The sequence below is a fragment of the Homo sapiens genome, chromosome 5 (genome assembly GCF_000001405.40).
Source record: "Homo sapiens chromosome 5, GRCh38.p14 Primary Assembly".
Taxonomy (NCBI): Eukaryota; Metazoa; Chordata; class Mammalia; order Primates; family Hominidae; genus Homo; species Homo sapiens.
The window spans coordinates 33,935,798-33,953,301 of record NC_000005.10 but is presented as its reverse complement, the minus strand read 5'-3'; the positions used below and the strand labels follow the sequence as shown (position 1 = coordinate 33,953,301).

The 17,504-nt window shown below is 46.1% G+C and overlaps 2 protein-coding genes across 5 annotated transcripts in view, besides 2 other annotated features; one reads left to right on the top strand and one right to left on the bottom strand.

The window, feature by feature from the left end:
• Positions 1 to 8,679, top strand: part of SLC45A2 (solute carrier family 45 member 2) — a 40,071-nt gene extending 31,392 nt beyond the window's left edge. For 2 of the 4 annotated variants that reach the window (XM_047417259.1, NM_016180.5), the window contains exons 5-7: positions 1,625 to 1,748; positions 5,928 to 6,139; positions 8,430 to 8,679. In XM_047417259.1, the coding sequence (XP_047273215.1) occupies positions 1,625 to 1,748; positions 5,928 to 6,139; positions 8,430 to 8,654 (561 nt within the window). In that variant the 3' untranslated portion in view covers positions 8,655 to 8,679. Of the gene's footprint in view, positions 1 to 1,624; positions 1,931 to 5,927; positions 7,437 to 8,429 lie in introns of those variants that run through there. The other 2 variants (NM_001012509.4, NM_001297417.4) reach the window with 2 other exon arrangements.
• Positions 8,068 to 8,568: an enhancer, noted in NCBI's record as "H3K4me1 hESC enhancer chr5:33944839-33945339 (GRCh37/hg19 assembly coordinates)". NCBI's record gives its function as "activates a minimal SCP1, AML or CMV promoter by ChIP-STARR-seq in primed H9 embryonic stem cells {active_cell/tissue: H9 hESC(primed)}" and the evidence as "EXISTENCE:reporter gene assay evidence [ECO:0000049][PMID:30033119]".
• Positions 8,569 to 9,069: an enhancer, noted in NCBI's record as "H3K4me1 hESC enhancer chr5:33944338-33944838 (GRCh37/hg19 assembly coordinates)". NCBI's record gives its function as "activates a minimal SCP1, AML or CMV promoter by ChIP-STARR-seq in primed H9 embryonic stem cells {active_cell/tissue: H9 hESC(primed)}" and the evidence as "EXISTENCE:reporter gene assay evidence [ECO:0000049][PMID:30033119]".
• Positions 14,384 to 16,916, bottom strand: RXFP3 (relaxin family peptide receptor 3). The gene has a single exon (NM_016568.3). It carries the CDS (start codon positions 16,559 to 16,561, stop codon positions 15,152 to 15,154), a length of 1,410 nt encoding a protein of 469 aa, NP_057652.1. The 5' UTR covers positions 16,562 to 16,916; the 3' UTR covers positions 14,384 to 15,151.
• Between the last annotated feature and the right edge of the window lie 588 nt (positions 16,917 to 17,504).

Sequence of the window (17,504 nt, the reverse complement as noted above, 5' to 3'; positions counted from 1 at the left end):
TGTAAACTAGTTCAACCATTGTGGAAGTCAGTGTGGTGATTCCTCAGGGATCTAGAACTAGAAATACCATTTGACCCAGCCATCCCATTACTGGGTATATACCCAAATGACTATAAATCATGCTGTCTATAAAGACACATGCACACGTATGTTTACTGCGGCACTATTCACAATAGCAAAGACTTGGAACCAACCCAAATGTCCAACAATGATAGACTGGATTAAGAAAATGTGGCACATATACACCATGGAATACTATGCAGCCATAAAAAATGATGAGTTCATGTCCTTTGTAGGGACATGGATGAAATTGGAAACCATCATTCTCAGTAAACTATCGCAAGAACAAAAAACCAAACACCGCATATTCTCACTCATAGGTGGGAATTGAACAATGAGATCACATGGACACAGGAAGGGGAATATCACACTCTGGGGACTGTGGTGGGGTCGGGGGAGGGGGGAGGGATAGCATTGGGAGATATACCTAATGCTAGATGACATGTTAGTGGGTGCAGCGCACCAGCATGGCACATGTATACATATGTAACTAACCTGCACAATGTGCACATGTACCCTAAAACTTAGAGTATAATAAAAAAAAAAAAATTAAAAAAAAAAAAAAAACTTTTGCTCAATAGAAATTAACTTGTTAGCTCCGGCCTGTATGAAATACATTAAAAATGAAATTCTTACAGCCTGCAAAGTCTTCCAAGGGGGTAAAGTTCCACATTATATCACACACATATGCATTTTTGTTTGCTTTACTGTGACTTGGATTTACTACAGAGACCTCTAATTTCTTAAATGACTTTTCACTTATCTACAGATGGAAGAATAGGACACGTAAATGCATCACTCATAATTGAGTGTTTGTAATACCTCTCACATCTTGAATCAAAATAAGAAATAAAATGCTGAAACTACAAAAAAAAAAAATACAACAAATAGGGCCAATTGATGTGAGCTGTAGCAATCATGGCAGGCTTCAAAAAGGAGGGGTGGGGTTCAGGCCGGGCATGGTGGATCATGCCTGTAATCTCAGTGCTTTCGAGGCCAAGGTGGAGCAATCATTTGAGGCCAGGGGTTCAAGGATGCGGTGACCTATGACTGTGCCGCTGTACTCCATTCTGAGTGACAGACCAAGACCCTGTCTCTTAAAAAATAAAATATGATAATAAATACACATAAAAAAGGAGGTGCAGTATGGTCTGGGCCTTGAAGGGTGAGTAGGAGTTAGAGGAATATTAGAGAGGGAGAAAACATTCCAAGCAGGAACAGGAATGGCCCATGTGGAGATGAGTCAGAAGCCGATTGGCTGTAGCAGAAGATGAGTGGTGGGATTTCCTAAGTCAGGTGGGGCCAGCTGTGAGATGGAAGGAGGAATGTTAAGGATCCAAGAGAGTGTTGTTGAGATCTGATGCAGCAAGCATTAGATTTCTGATAGGTCCTTGAATGAAGATGTGATAGGATGCGACTTGGTCATGACAGCATCAGCTCTGTACTCTAGAAAGGGTCCCTCAGGCAGGGACATTTGCTCCCCAGAGGTGGAGAAGCAGAGTGCATGAGAAGGGTTCTTACTACATTGCATTTGTACCTCAACAGCCTCCAATCTCTCTTTCAGATTGTGTACCGCGGGGATCCCTATAGTGCACACAACTCCACAGAGTTTCTCATCTACGAAAGAGGAGTCGAGGTTGGATGTTGGGGCTTGTGCATCAACTCCGTGTTTTCCTCACTTTATTCTTGTAAGTCTTTCTCTCTCCTAAGGATGTCTTCTAAAAGTTTCTGGTCTAGCACAACTTGGATTTGATATTTCTATGTGTATTTCCTACTGTTTAAAATACCAGATTCTTAATAAATCTATGGACGTCAGGAAAAACTATCACCTTAAAAAGGACCATATAAAGCATCCTTTTTTCATCATGAATTCTAGGTGTCATTTCCTCACTGATTACTTTGCTCTTGGAATCAGTGGGTTCCTGATCAAGTTTCTCTGGAAAATGAAAGGGAATCTTTACAAGATGAAGTGTTGGATGGATGAGTCCCAGCAGGTTCGTGTTCTACTGGAGCAAGATCATTGGTAGCATTTCATAGATAGGCTTATCAGATTTGTAGATGATACAGAAGAGAAGCAATATTAATATGACAGGTGACAAAGTCAGCATGCAAAATGACCTTAGCTCAGATGTGTAACTGGGTGGGTTATAGGAGCACCACACCAGGATTGGGGACAGCTGGCTTTCCTTCCCAGGTGCCAGCTTTTCTGAGCCTCTTAACCTCCACTTACCTAAGTTGCAGCTGTGAAGACACTGAACAAAGGGATTTCTGCTATTGTCTTTATGTAAGTCCAGGTGGCTGTGCTATAACTCCAGGGCATTGCACAGGCTGCATTGTACTTGCGACTGTGTATGGATATCTCCAAGCTCTGTATACATTGAGTTAAGTGAAACGTCTGGCCTGAAAAATGTATGCAGTTCTCCTAATTATAAAGAGCTCCTATAAAGAGCTCTTCTTCTGCAAGATTGTAAGAATAACTGACCCCCAATTCAGGGCTCTGGGCTTTGGACAGGTCCAGGGGACAGCAGGGATATGGCCCAGGTGAAGGAAGTGGGAAGAGATGGGGAGAATCCCTGTTACCATTCTCAGGAGGACTCACTCTGTCACTGTCAGCCTGCTTCTTGTGAAGGGAAAGTGTGGATGTATGTGAGGGCCCCTTCCCCTTCCCTTTACCTAGCCATAGCACAGCAGGAAACCTGCCTCAAGACCTCTTAAAAATTTAGCCCAATTGGGAAAATGGGACCTCATATAAACATGCAAGTTGATGAGCCCAATAATCACGTAACAACAACATTCATTATTTTAAAATTTATGATACTCAAAGAGTAGTGCTTAAAGATCACATTTATTTAGCAAACTCTTTTCTTCCTCTTCGAGTGTGCAAACTAAGAAAAAATCCAGGAGGAAGATTTCAAGCACTTAAAATAGAATAAAAGAATGTTAGACTAAAAGGGTCTAGTAAATTATCCAGCTTAAGTCCTTCATGATTTCAAGGGCTGAGGGGACTATTTACCACTACCCTCATGCTTTTTTTTGTTTTTCTTCTTTTTTTAAGACAAAGTCTCACTCTGCCACCTGAGCTGGAGTGCAGTGGCATGATCATGGCTCACTGCAGCCTCAACCTTCTGGGCTCAAGCAAGTCCCAGCCCTCTGAGTACCCGGGACCACAAGCACATGCCACTGTGCCTGGCTTATTAATTTAAAAAAAATTTTTTTTTTAGAGATGGGGTCTCCCTACATTGCCCAGGCTGGTCTCGATCTCCTGGGCTCAAGTGATCCTCCTGTCTCAGCCTCCCACAGTGCTGGGATTACAGGCATGAGGCACTACATCCAGCCCTACCTTCATCTTTGTCAGAAAGAAAAGTGTCAATCTAAACTTATTTTTCCTCAGGGAACTCCTACTAGATAACATTCCATTAGTCTTGTCCGCATAAATTTTATGGCATTTGAAACTTTAAAGCATATTATTTTTAGGTCCCTTCTAGTTAAAAGCGTTTCTAGTTACAAAAGAAATTATTAGTTGAATAGTTTTCCAAAGTTTTATTAATGTATAAATCTATGGGATCCCTACCATTGTTAATTCAAATCAACATTTTATTTATAAAATACCAGCCAGCTCTGCTCAAGGATTTTAGGGATTCCCCATGCCCATAGGATAAAGTCAAATTCCTGAGCTTTTCACAGTTTGGCCTAGTTCATACTTTGCCCTTTTTCACTCCCATATCAATTAACCACCCTCAATGACCCACTATGCAGACTTTCTCATTTCTGGGTATTTGCCACTGCTTTTAGTTTCTTCTGCCTGAACTGCTCTTTCTACTTCCCCAACTGGACAACTTCTAATAATATTTTTAGACCCAGCTTAAATATTACTTCCTCAGTGAAATCATTCAAGTTTTCTTCCCCCTGCACCTCAACCCACTCTGGGCAGAATCAATCCTTTCCTTTCCTTCCAGAGCTCACTATATTACCCTCTATTTTGGATTCATCACATAACATCAGGAGCAGATTCAGAGTTTCTATCCACATGGAGGTTGGCAGGACAATCTGGCTGCTGAGGTGGAGAGTGCTGATAGGGACTTGTTTCTAAGCTCCTTTTGTATACAGCAGGTACAGGTATACCAATTAGAACAACAACACTGAGTACTAAGATATGGCCTATTGTTCATACCATAATATCATACACTACTAGTCATAACTGGTGCTTAAATCTATAATTTCCCCTCAGTCCTGAAGAGAGGCATTGTGTGAGGATATGACTACCACTGGGTATCAGACCCATCAGAGGGCAATTCAAGCTTGGCCCTGAAGTTCACTGAATTATCTTTGTGAATAAAGTATTCTTTGCCAGACTTTCAGTCTCTGTACTGAAGTTACTTATGTTTCCAAATACCTCTTTGCCCTACTTTGCCTTCTCCTCTGCTGGCATACACACTTGGATAAGAGCATTTCCCTAATGGGTATTGATGGTATCTTTTAGGTATTGAGACACCTTAGATTACATTTTCTGTATAAATATAATTATTAAGCAAGCAGAAACTGTTCTAGCTTTATTCTCATTTTTGTATTCTCAACCTTAACAACAGTCCTCCAGTCATGGTATAAGTTTAATAGAGGAAGCAATGTTGCCTACTTGTCATTTCCAGATCTTTGTCTTCCATCAGTGTGAGAGTGTTTAGTTTCATAATTGATTCAAATGTACTGCAAATAAGGTTGCTTGTCTACAAGGTGTAAGTCCAATAATTATATGAATAGATATGGAAAATGTCATTCTTAATAGTCACGTTTCAAGTATCTGTTATTTATCCTCTGATTCTTGTGTTCCAGGAGAATGGGGCAGGGAAGAGATGAGGAATGTGTGGATTAAAAACGACTGAGGGAAGAAGATAAAAACAATTTAGAGATTTTCCTTGCCATTGTAGAAAACCTTGTAAAATGTTTTAAAGCAGAATTTTTCATTTTTAAAAATTAGTTCTGCCACTATACTGATATAAGCAAGCCAAGTTGACCTGCTAGAAGAGGAACCCAGTTAAAAGTCAACTGTCTCCAGCTCAGCCTGTCTTGTTGCTTAATTGGATGTTTTCTACATGCTAGGCATTAAGCTGGGTGATTTCATAGACACTTCATCTCACTTGATCCTGGCAACAACTCCAAAAGATGGTTTTATTATTCCCAGTTTTCAGATGAGGAAGCTGGGGTTTTGAGAAGTCAAGGAACTTGTTTACCAAGAGTTAGGGAGCCAGCGATGAGGAGATGCTGGGTGCTGTGGGAGCCCCTTACCAGTCTGGGAAGGATTGGCAAGTCAGGGAAGGTGTCTTCAGATAATTGTACATCTTTTACCTCCTTCTCAGGTGTGCAGACTCCATTCAGATGGGGGCTAAGAAATCATGAATGACTTAGATCATTCTGTAAATTTTGGTTGTTTCAATTTTCCCCAACCTGACTTTGGGTTGTAGGGCCAAGATAGGCCTGTGTTATTATTTTCGTCCTATGGGGCCACAGCCCATCTGATTTAGAATAACCCACACTTTTCTTGAAGCCCCAGGTTCCCATAGTTAGGTCAGATTTTCCACCACCTTTCTCGCTTCTTTTTGCTATCCAGCTGTCTGCTAAACAGTGCCAGATTCTTCTTTGTAGAAAAAAAATCAGCCTACCAAGGCAATTTCAAGCTGTCCTTTATGGAAAGGTCTTTAAAATGGTTCCAAAAGCCAGCTGTTTTCAACCCACAGATAAGGGGATTCTTTTGTTCCTGGCTCAGTATCAAAGGATGTCTAAAAAGGTGAATCTTCAGAAGAAAGGATTGTCTGAAATTATTAAATGTTATGAGGCACTGCCAGCTGTAATTTCTCCCTCTCTTCTTCCCACAGACTTTCAGAAAGTTTTGGTATCCTACATTGGATTAAAGGGTCTTTACTTCACGGGATATTTGCTGTTTGGCCTGGGGACGGGATTTATTGGGCTCTTCCCGAATGTCTACTCCACCCTGGTCCTGTGCAGCCTGTTTGGTGTAATGTCCAGCACCCTGTACACTGTGCCCTTTAACCTCATTACTGAGTACCACCGCGAGGAAGAAAAGGAGGTGTGCTGTCATTGAACCTCTGCCTTGGGTAACATCCAGACTCATCTGAAGGCTGGGGAGGATTTGGTAGCAATGTGTAGAGCAGAGCTGGAAAATAAGGGTTCTTGAAACAGCAACAGTCAAATGCCCAACCAACTGCAACCATGATCTGGTACAGGCATGCTCACCAGCCCAGCCCAGCCCAGCTGTCCTGTCCTCCTTATTCTCAACTCCTGCTCACTTAGGGAGCTGTAGGGCAAGAAGTGTTACTCCCATTTTTCTAATTAGAAAAAGGCTTGGTGAGGCTGAGAAACCAGCCCACAATTACACAAAGACAAAAAAAGGGGGACCCAGGTCTTCTGTAACCACCTCATAGGTCTCCCTGGTGCCACCTGCAGCATTTCTAGATACCGACAATAAGGGTCTCCCTATCCCCAACTTTCAGAGGTACATAGTGGAATTTCTTGGCATTATTTGCTGAGGGTAGGAAAGTCCTAGGCAATGGAGTCCAGATTTTAGTAAGTCAGACCCCATGTGTGAGAAGGAAAGCTGGAATCATGGGTGGTAATCCCCACTTTGCTGCCCTGAGCGGGACCTGTGCCATTTAAACCTTGGAACGCAACTAGTGAACAAGCGCCTATGCAGTGCTTATAACAGAGTTGGTGTTTCCACTCTAAAATTACCACCTCTTCTTATCAAAATTTGCAACTTTCTTCCTGTGAAAATAGGCTTATAGTTCCTTAACTGGAGCAATGATATAAAAGCTACAGAGATAACTCCAAGTTTAATCCAGCTCAGCATGAAACTGCAAAAACACTGAACATATAACCATCAGACTATAATTCTGGCCATGTTTTTCATCATTTGATCTGGCAGCAGGGCAGAGGTGCACCAGGAGTAAAAACCTTTCAAAAAAGAGGTGTGGCTTTCCTCATCCCCTGGCAAACATTGTCACCAAGGTGGGATGTTGCTGCTAATGGGAGAGTCATCATAAAAAACTGTCCCTACAAGGAGAGTGTTACATGGTGTTGGGGGAAGAAAACCTACGCTTCAGGCTCAGAGAAACCTGGATTCAAATCCTGCCTCTCTCACTTGGAAGCTGTGTTACACTGGGGATGTTATTTACTTGTTTATTAGTTAGCACTTAGAATGAGTTCATTTTTAGGTGAGATAATATATTCACAATGATACACAAAAGTGCACACTGTGTGCTCCCTTTACCATTTACTATCTCCCTCCAGCCCCAACGTGTTACCACTCTTACTAGTTTTTTGTTAATCTTTCCGGCATTTTTAAATAAAAACCAAGCAAATGTAAATCTGTTTTCTTATTTTCCTTTCTTATTCAAAGGATAATATGCGTTTTTCAGCATAATGCTTTTTTTTTGCCTAATAGTGTAGGAAATCATCATTTAAGCTCGCAGGCCCTCAGTTTCCTCATGAGGCAAATGGAAAGAATGTTATTTACCTTATAGAAAAGCAAACAAATTAGTGGATGTGCTTAGCATAGTGCCCCCTAGCACCCGACAAAGACTCAAAATGTGATAGCTAGTATTATAATTGTTACCATGGGGGTAATGATAATAACATGTGCATCCAGGGAGGTGGTGAGGTTGAAATACAGTAACAGGTAAAAAAAAAACCCAGGCCCAGCACATAAGCGATACCCAACAAATGACAAAGTTATCAGCCAGTTCGGAAGAAATATCAAGTATTAACCAAACATTATTATATTAATCAAGTAGCAACCATATTTTGAAAGATTGAAATGCTTTTTAAAGTTGCTTCTCTTAAGGACATCAGCAATTCAACATCCTTCTTAAAATCTTTGAATTTTTAACACTAAGAAAGGAAAAGAATGGGATATTTATTAAGTATCCACTACATTGTATTGATTATGGCCCGCCACTTGTTTTTGTACAGTCTGCGAGCTAAGAATTCCTTTTAATTGTTTAAATGATTGAAAAAAACTTTCAAAAGAAGGTTAATATCTTGTGACAGGTGAAAATTACATGAAATCAAATGCTAATACCCATCAATATTCAGTTCAGTTCCACATCACCAATTCATGAAAATTACATGAAATCAAATGCTAATAATGTCCATCAATATATATTGGAAAGCCAACTCAGCTCCACATTGCCCCTGCTTTTGCACTACAGCAGCAGAGTTGAGTAGTTATGACCAGGGCTGTATAATCCACGAAGCCAAAGGTATTTACTATCTGGCTGGTCACAGAAAAATTTTGCTGACCTGTGCCCTAAATGACAGTTCCTTGTAGGTCAAATGGTGGTTCTGTGCTTCCTTTGCAGAGGCAGCAGGCCCCAGGAGGGGACCCAGACAACAGCGTGAGAGGGAAGGGCATGGACTGCGCCACCCTCACATGCATGGTGCAGCTGGCTCAGATCCTGGTCGGAGGTGGCCTGGGCTTTCTGGTCAACACAGCCGGGACCGTTGTCGTCGTGGTGATCACAGCGTCTGCGGTGGCACTGATAGGCTGTTGCTTTGTCGCTCTCTTTGTTAGATATGTGGATTAGGTCAATAAAGAGACAATGACCCTAACCTCAGAGACAGTGAAGCACATGGCAGGAAGTTAACATTTTCTGCAGCTCTGAATCTTAGGGTCTGCCCATTGGACGCCCACTATTGTGATTTCAGCCGTGGAATCTGCCCACCTCTCTCTCTCTCTCTCTCTTTTTTTTTTTTTTTTTGAGATGGAGTCTTGCTCTGTCACCTAGGCTGGAGTGCAGTGGCACGATCCCGGCTCACTGCAAGCTTCGCCTCCTGGGTTCACACCATTCTCCTGCCTCAGCCTCTCGAGTAGCTGGGACTACAGGCGCCCACCACCATGCATGGCTAATTTTCTGTATTTTTAGTAGAGATGGGGTTTCGCCATGTTAGCCAGGATGGTCTCGACCTTCTGATCTCATGATCCGCCCCCCTTGGCCTCCCAAAGTCCTGGGATTACAGGCGCAAGTCACCGCGCCCAGTCCCACCTCTCACTTTAAACCAATCCTCTGCACAACAGTCCCCATATTTCAGGCAACGTTTGCCTGGACTATGCCTCTATGCCTCGGTGGCAAGGGGTAAGTGTGGGTGGCAGCATCTCGGTGCAAGGGTGGAAGAGGCAGGAGCTGCTTTTCACAGGGCATTACAAATCTTGCTGAGACCTCAGAAGCAGACTAATTCCATATACAATGCTTGGATGTGTTCTGTGAAGTGATTTGATTTTTTTTTTTTAGCCAGGGGTCCATATATATTGGGGAATCATATATTTCATCAAATTCACAAATATTCAAAATATTGCTAATGATTTATTCTCTATTAATTTATTCATAATTTGCTCATAATTAATTCCTATTACTTTATGATACCCCTGACAAGTCTACTCAAACATCTCATGCTGGAGAATTCACCACTTTAAAATAGTTCATTTCATTGACACAGTAAAAATATTTCTCTCTAGTCTGCACCCTTGTTTCGTCCTCTGGATTTGATGTGAAAGTCTTTCCAAAAAACAGCCCCCTGTTTCTCCTATGATCTTCTTTTCTCCAAGCTAAGCAGTTTTTCTCTAACCACACCCCTTCAACTGCCCCATGATGAGGTTTTCAGCAGCCTTGAGAGACAGCATGGTTTAATAAAAATCGTGTTTTGGAATCAGCTGGTTTTAAATCCTGGCTTTGCCACTCAGCAGTAAACTATGTAATCTCCCCAAGGCACACTTGCTCATCTATACATTTGGGATAAGAATTGCTATCTCAGAGAGTTGTGATGATTAATAATATGTAACATTGGTTCAGGCATGGTGGCTTATACCTGTAATCCCAGCACTTTAGGAGACCGAGGCAGGGGGATACCTTGAGGCCAGGAGTTCGAGACGAGCTTGGGAAACATAGGGAGACCCTCTCTCTACAAAAAATATTTTAAAAATTAGCTGGGCATAGTGGTGCATGCCTGTAGTCCCAACTATTGGGGAAGATGAAGTGGGAGAATTGCTTGAGCCTGGGTGATCGAGGCTGTAGTGAGCTGTGATTTTGTCACTGCACTCCACCCTGGGAGACAAAGCGAGTCCTGGTCTCAAAACAAACAAACGAACAAACCACAAAACACAAACCATGACATTTATGGAGTCTTTACCACTATTCTAAATGCTTTAACGTTAACACAGCAATTGTGGGAGTGGGTGCTGTTACCACTCTCCATTTTTTAGATAAAGAAATGGAGGCAGAAAGATATAACTTATCTGAAACCACACAATTCTTAAGTGACAGAGCTGGGCTTTGAACCCAGTCACTTTGGTTCCGTTGCTTCCTGTATGGACAGCACTTAGCCTGGTGTCTGGCACATGAATGGAGGCATGTGATCCACAGCCCATCCCTCTTCACTGCTTCCCCCACTCCTCTCTCTACCTAGGCAGTGTAGAGTCCTTGTGTGCATGCTGGCGTCAGCACATCCATAGCCTCCCACCTGCCTCCACCCTCTATCGCTCCTGCAAACGACCACCCTTAGCCACTTAAGGGTGGACAGACTCAGTGGCATGGAATTCCCTCTGGAGGATAGACTCAAGAAAGAACCCATGGATTCCTTGTAAATAGACTCAGGGCCATTTGGACAAGAGATTCCAAGGTCTCACGTACCCAAGCATAATCTAGGAGGTGGGAGGACTAGGGGGGCACAGATTCCAGAAGGTCCTGTGCAATCCTTGCCATGTGGGGAGGGGCAGGGGAAGAGCAGGGTCTCCTCTAATGATGACACCCAGACCAGGGGCCCTGGCTGCCCAGGGCTAAGGACCGTATCTACTGAAGTTGGCCAGCCTAGGAGCAAAGAGCCATTTGTTGTCATTCTGTGCTGCAGCCTCCTTCTCCTTCCCAGCCTCCCCAAGTGTCTTATAAGGCAGTGGCATCCCTGATATCTCACACGCGCTTTCCTCCTGCTGCTGCTGCTTGGGCTTCCACTTTGTTGCTTCAATTCTACCATTACCTCCTTTGTGTTTAAAGAACCCACTCTCTGCAGCTACCTGGTTCTTATACCTGTGACTGAGGCAGTGCTGGGGTGTGGAGCAAGGCATCTGAAATGCCCCTGTGAGTCTGGCCACTTCTGGTGTATATGTTGGGGGGAACAATAGAGGGCAGGGGTTTATGCTAAAGTGGCCACTTCTTCCTGCCCCCTGCTCAACCTCGTCACCTGCAGGGCATGCAGCTTCCTTATCCAGGCTCCTGCAGTGTGTCTGTCCCATTCTCTCCAGATCACTGGTGCTTTCCAGACCCAGCTAGGCTGTCTTCTCTGGCTTGAGCATGCTCTTTTACTTATCACCCTCCAAGCCTTGCTCCCTTCTCATTTTCTGCTTCCCAATCAGGTCCTCCTGTATTCTATTAGTACATTCACTCCCAAATGAAATAATCTCTTTCTTTTTACAGAATATATACAAAATTACCCCTTCTTCTCTACTCCACCCTCCCATCCCCCTGCCATTATCCATCCTGGAGAAATAAGTTAATGACTCATTTAGAGAGGCCACGAGGGAAAACACCTGCTCCCAACCCCATTGTGTGGGATGAGGATGGGTAAATGTTCAGAGGACTTCATGGCACATAACTCTTGGCATTAGGAAAGAAACAGCGACAAGCCACCTGTCTTATCTCCCTTACCTGTACTTGGCCTCTGCAAGGTTTAGAAATGGAATCCTCTCCAGGGTTCAGTGTTTATTTCCTGTCCGTTTCTCCAAAAACTGTTCTGATGTGTGAAGATTTGGAAATGAATAGATGGGCCAGCTGGAAAGGTGACCCACAGCTAAGGGCCATCTTATTGAACCCCCAAGAAGTCAAATGTAGTCATCCCTAACCAACCACAGGGCACTTGTGCGCGCGCACACACACACACACACACAAATATGCAAATACTCATTGAACTCAACTCCCTTGAGGTTTGAATGAATAAATATAATCCAATTTTCAAAGTCTTTAACCACATTTGGGAATCTAAGTATTTGTTCTCAGTATACCAATGACATATTCTTTCTGGCAAAAGAAATTTCCTTTCCCCAGACAAATAAAACTAGTACAAGGACGCATACTCTCAACAGAAATCCTGGGAAATCCTGCAAGAGAAAGAGAATCCCTACTACTTTGTTTCCTGCTTCCCTAACCAAGCATCCGACATTCCAACATCAAAGCTTTTAGTCACCACATTTTATTAGCGTTGAATATCCTCTCTACCTCCGAACCAACCCCTGCCATTCTGCCTAAACTGTGCCCATATATTTAGACCTGTCTCAAATATTATTTTGACCAGAAAGTCTGACCTCCCAGCAGGATCAACTTTTCCTTCCTTTGTCTTTCTTTCTTTCAGCCTTACTTTGACATTCAGCTGATCATTCCCTGTCTTATCTTGCTTGTGCTCACCGCTGTCTGTCCTTTTACGTGTGGAGGTCAGAAACGTGTCTGGTTCGTGTACATCACCTCAGCACCCTGCACAGGGGATGGCACAAAACAGCCACTCAAAAAGTAATTGTTGATTACAATTGATCTGACCATTTCCTTTGGTGACCCTTTTGTCTTTGTGGTAGACCAAAGTCATGATCTTTGATCCCTCCTGCCATGTTCTCAGAAGCCTTGTGCTTGGGATTTGGACAAAGTGACCCTTTTTATAGAGGTTATTTTTTTCCCATTCCTCCAGCTCCTTCTTTGCTGTTTTTCTAGTGCCCATAGTAGCAGATGCACATACTTCAACACCCTTTCCTAAAAATTCTGAGCTACCCATACATTATTTTATTGTTAAATTGAAATGGAAATTTGCTTTGATAAGAATCTCTCAGTAAGAGTCTATTATCCGTGTTATAGATGTATCTCCTACCGTGCAAATGTTAGTTTTCTCCTGTGTTTACTTTTTCATGTATTTTGTATTTTGGGGACCTTTGTGGAGCTTACATTTCAGTCTTTGTTAGCCTAATTGCTATTCAATATCTATATCAATAATTGTTCTTCCCAAAGGGTGAAGAAAAAAATGGACTACTTCAAAACAAACACACCATTCAGTTTTCTAAAAGAGCTGACTTCACAAGACTGCTCAGAATCGCGACTGGCAGCTTCTGCCTTTGTGGGAAGGCATGAGTGTTTAGTCATTTCACTGTGTTTTGCAATCACAGAAAGCAGATCAGGGAAGGTGGGAGTTGTAGATCTCACATTTTGAGCCCTGAATCTCAGATACTGCAGAAAACTTTCAACGACATCACTAAACAATTCTACCGTTCAAGAGGCTCTTTAAACAGACCTGTTTTTACGAATGGCTATTTTTTATATTAAACCAACCACCCTGGTGGGTGCCTGCATCATTGGTTTTTTGGCCCCAAACCAGGTTGCCGAAGAGAGTAGCAGTACCTCTATGAAAGCCAGCAGAGGGGTAGGTAGACTGATGTTTGATCCCAGTTCTTAGAAGAGCCTCAAGAAAGGACTTTGTGAGGGTTTAACATCTTAAGCTCCTGTGATCAAAACAGAGTCAACATGAGAAATGTGAGGCGGTCTTCAGAGACAGCTCCATAAACTGTCTGGAGGCTGGGAAAGAATTTGTCATGCATGCTTAATATGTAAAGCACTCTTTAGAATAAATGGAAATTGGTGATGGTAATGTCCGATGGGAATTACTATTTCCTACCTTCTCTTGTCAATAATATAAGCAATAAAAAAGCCCACAACTGAAATTCTGATGATACCCTCAGAACAGTTTCCCCAGTACTCTGCTCGCTTTAGAACATGGTACCTGAACCTTCTATTTTCTTTCCTACCCCACACCTCTGTTTGAGAGATCCGACCCAGCTTCTAGGAATTTGGTTTCCAAGATTCCACTTCCCCCCGCCCCCCGCCCCAATTCCCCTTGCACATTTCTGCGGTATTTCTTCCTCTTCTATCTAAGCCTACCAGAAAAAAATTAATAATAAAATAAATACTGAACCATCCCTCTACTCGCTGGTCCAGGGCCTCAATCAAAGGAACAGCTTGATTCCCAAAGCGTGGGAAGGGAGGAACTGAAGAAGTGCCCCCACTCCTCCCAGTAGAGCTATTCAAGATGCCTCCGGGCCCAGCTCACCGGCAGCACGCAGACTGCTCTCAGAGGAACTGGAGCGCCCGAGCTTCCTGCGCGCAACGCGCCAGCGCTCCACTTCCAACTCTGCTACCAAGTGAGCATATGAGCCCCCTTTTACCTTTTGGGGCAGCAGCCTGAAGAAATTTCCCTGTCCAGCCCTTCTAATCACACTGTGTCTCCTCCCTCCCGCAGCGACGACACTCCCCAGAGAATGGCTCTCCCAAGCTGGTGACAGGTGTTATCCCCCTGCTAACGTCTGAGCTCCGGGGCTGTGCAGCTAGGTCGGGCTCAGGGTGTTCCCGCTGGCCCAGTCCGGAATGATAATTGTCATAATGACTCCATTGGAGGTGGCTTTCCTTTGCCGTTTCTCCTGTGGGCGGACCAGGATGGTCAGTTCTTTTTCTTAACTCCAAAAGCGTTTCTTGCCTACCAGCTCTAGATTCCTGGGGCAGCCCCGCAGCAAGTAGGACCTTGGCGCTGCTGCAGTCTCGTTTGCCAAGACGCAAAGGAGTGTTTGTGCCGACGGCTGCCCTCTCCGCAGAAGTCGCTGGAATAAACGGGCACAATTGTCTGTGCATCATTTGGCTAAGCCCCGCTCCCCGTGCCAATTTCTCTACATTTTTGCTGCTTGTCTTCGCTTCTGGGCGCCCCCACACTACTCAGCGTGGGAAGAGTAAGGAGAGGCTGTGGGGTGCGGAGCGGAGGTTGGCTGTCTGGCCCGTGGGGCTCGTCTCTATCCCTTTGCCAATTTCCTCTCTCCACCCGATTTCGAAGCATCTCCTCTCCAGAGAAGGTCCTCGGCCTATCCACAGGCTCCTCCTCCATGCTCTGCCCATCCTCCTCCCACCTACTTCTTAAATGGGGCCCCCCCCAGCCCTCCTTCATCCTTTCACCTCTTTACCGCCCGGGGAAGGCCACCTTGCCCCGACGGCGCGCCCTGGGCCTGAGGCCTGCGTCAGTAGGCAGAGCTGCTGGGCAGCAGGTCGTAGCGCCCCCCGCTGTAGACCACGACGCCAGGTGGGTAGTAGAGCAGGTCCGGCTCCGCGGCCGCGTGGGGCGGCGCCGGGGCCTGCAGCCCCTGATCCTCGTGCTCCGGCTTGGTAGTGGCGGTGAAGGGGCGCATGCTGGTGATCGAAGGAGACGCGATGCGCCACAGCAGGCTCTTGAGCGCCTTGCGGAACTCGCGGCGCACGAGGCAGTAGAGGACGGGGTTGAGGCAGCTGTTGGAGTGCGCTAGGCACACGCTCACAGGGAACGCGTATACCTGGCACAGGAAATACTCCTGGCTGAAGGGCACCGCGTTGAACTTGATGAGGATGCTCCAGGTGGTGAGCGCCTGGTTGGGCAGCCAACACAGGAAGAAGGACAGGACAACGATGGTCACTGATTTGGTGACCTTCGACAGTCTCCGGGCGCTGGCTCCGGTCGGGCGTCCTCCGGCTACCGCGGCCCCTCCTTTGGTCCCCGCCGCGCGGCGGTCGGCGATGAAGCGCACCAGCAGCAGGTAGCACAAGATAATGATGCCCAGCGGCAGCACGAAGCCCAGCAGCACCTTCTGCGAGTGGTAGAGGCCCAGCCAGAACTGCCTGTCGCGGCCCAGCAACTTGTCCGGGAAACGCACCAGGCACAGCTCCTCGCCCATCACCTTGACCGTGGTGGAGAAAATGGCACTGGGCAGCGAGGCCAGCGCGGCCAAAGCCCAGATCCACACACACAGCGCCTTGGCCGAGAAGCAGCAGCTGTCCCCCAGGCTCCGGCCGCAGCAGTCGCCCCGGCCGTGTCCTCGGGTCCGGTGGCTCTTCAGAGCCGAGGCCACCGAATGGTAGCGCGTCACACTCATGGCAGTGAGGAAGAACACGCTGGCGTACATGTTCATGGACGTCACCATGGACACGATCTTACACATGGCCTTGCCGAAGGGCCATTTGAAGTCAAGAGCGTTCTCCACCGCCCAGAAGGGCAGGGTGAGCACAAACTGAAAGTCCGTCAGCGCCAGGTTGGTGACGAAGAGGTTGATAGAGGACTTGCGCCAGCCCTGCATGCTCTTCATCAGGTAGAGAACCAGCAGGTTGCCCGCCAACCCCAGGGCGCACACCACCCAGTACACCACGCTGATGAGAATCCGCACCCGGGCCTCTGTGTCCGCGCTCTCTGCCCCGCCGCTGCCCGGGGGATGTCCTGGCGGCGCGCCGTCCGGCAACTCCAGCCCCAGCTCCCACCACAAGTCCGGAAGCTGCAGCGACGCGTTACCACTCGTGTTGGCCGCCTCCAGAAGGTCCGGGACCAGACTGAAGAGTTCTGCTAGCTTGTCCCCGCCTGCTGCCTTATTCATGGTGGCTATCGTGGCTGCATCGGCCATCTGCATGCGCAGGTACCTCTAGGTCATGTTCTGGGGGACAAGACCTAAGATAACACGGTTTACCCCAGTTTTGTTGCCAGGCTAGCCTGCGGGACGTGCGTGGGAGCTTTCAAAGCAGCTACTGAAGAGAGAGCCCAGGAACTGGGTACTAAGCGCGTCCTGGCGCGCAGCGAACGCCCTGGACGCAGGAGTTGAGCTCAGCGGCTGCTTTGGAGCAGAGTTGAGGAGTGCAGCCCGTAAGGCAAGCACTCGGCGTCCAAGGGTTCTCAGGCCAAGCTCGGAGTCCCTAGGTCCTTATGTACAACGCAGACTTCCCCTCTCCGTGTCCCGCGGTCACTGGGGCACTGGCGCATAACTCCCCCAGCCGCTCAATTGTGCGATTTGGGGCCGCTCGCTCCCTTTCAAATACCTTTATCCGTTTCCTCTGGGACTGCTTGGATGAGGTTTCCGTCCTTGGAGAGAAAGAGATCGTAGAGTTCCATCCACCACGCTCAGCTTCCTGGAGGTCAGTGGGTGTCTGCGTCTCTCCGCGGTTGTCAACTCCGGGTGGGTTGCCAGCGGCTCTCACCAGTTACGGTGGCACTTGCACGGCCAAGGCGGCGGGCCCCAAGGAGCATGCGTAATCCCGGGGCGCCGCGAGGGGCGCTTTCCGAGGTGCTGAACCCAGCCGCGCCCGCGCCGCGAGGGAGAGTTGAGCTGCAGGCAAAGCCCACCCGCCACTCCAGTTTTCCTCTCCAGAGTTTCAGCAGGAAGGGTCTTAAGAGTTTATTTTACAGCTGCAGGAGAAAGTCGGCTTTGACGTGAGTTTCTTCTTCCTTTCTTATTCCCAAACATTATGATTAGAAGTTTTTTTTTTCTTTCTTCCTCACTCCCACTTTTCACCGGAATTATTCCATTTGGTGAGGAATTGTTCTAAAAATATGAGCTATCCTGCTTACTTTCCTTCTTG

Excerpts from the sequence above, each read along its gene's own strand:
- RXFP3 (NM_016568.3), bottom strand. The coding sequence starts at position 16,561 with ATGCAGATGGCCGATGCAGCCACGATAGCCACCATGAATAAGGCAGCA.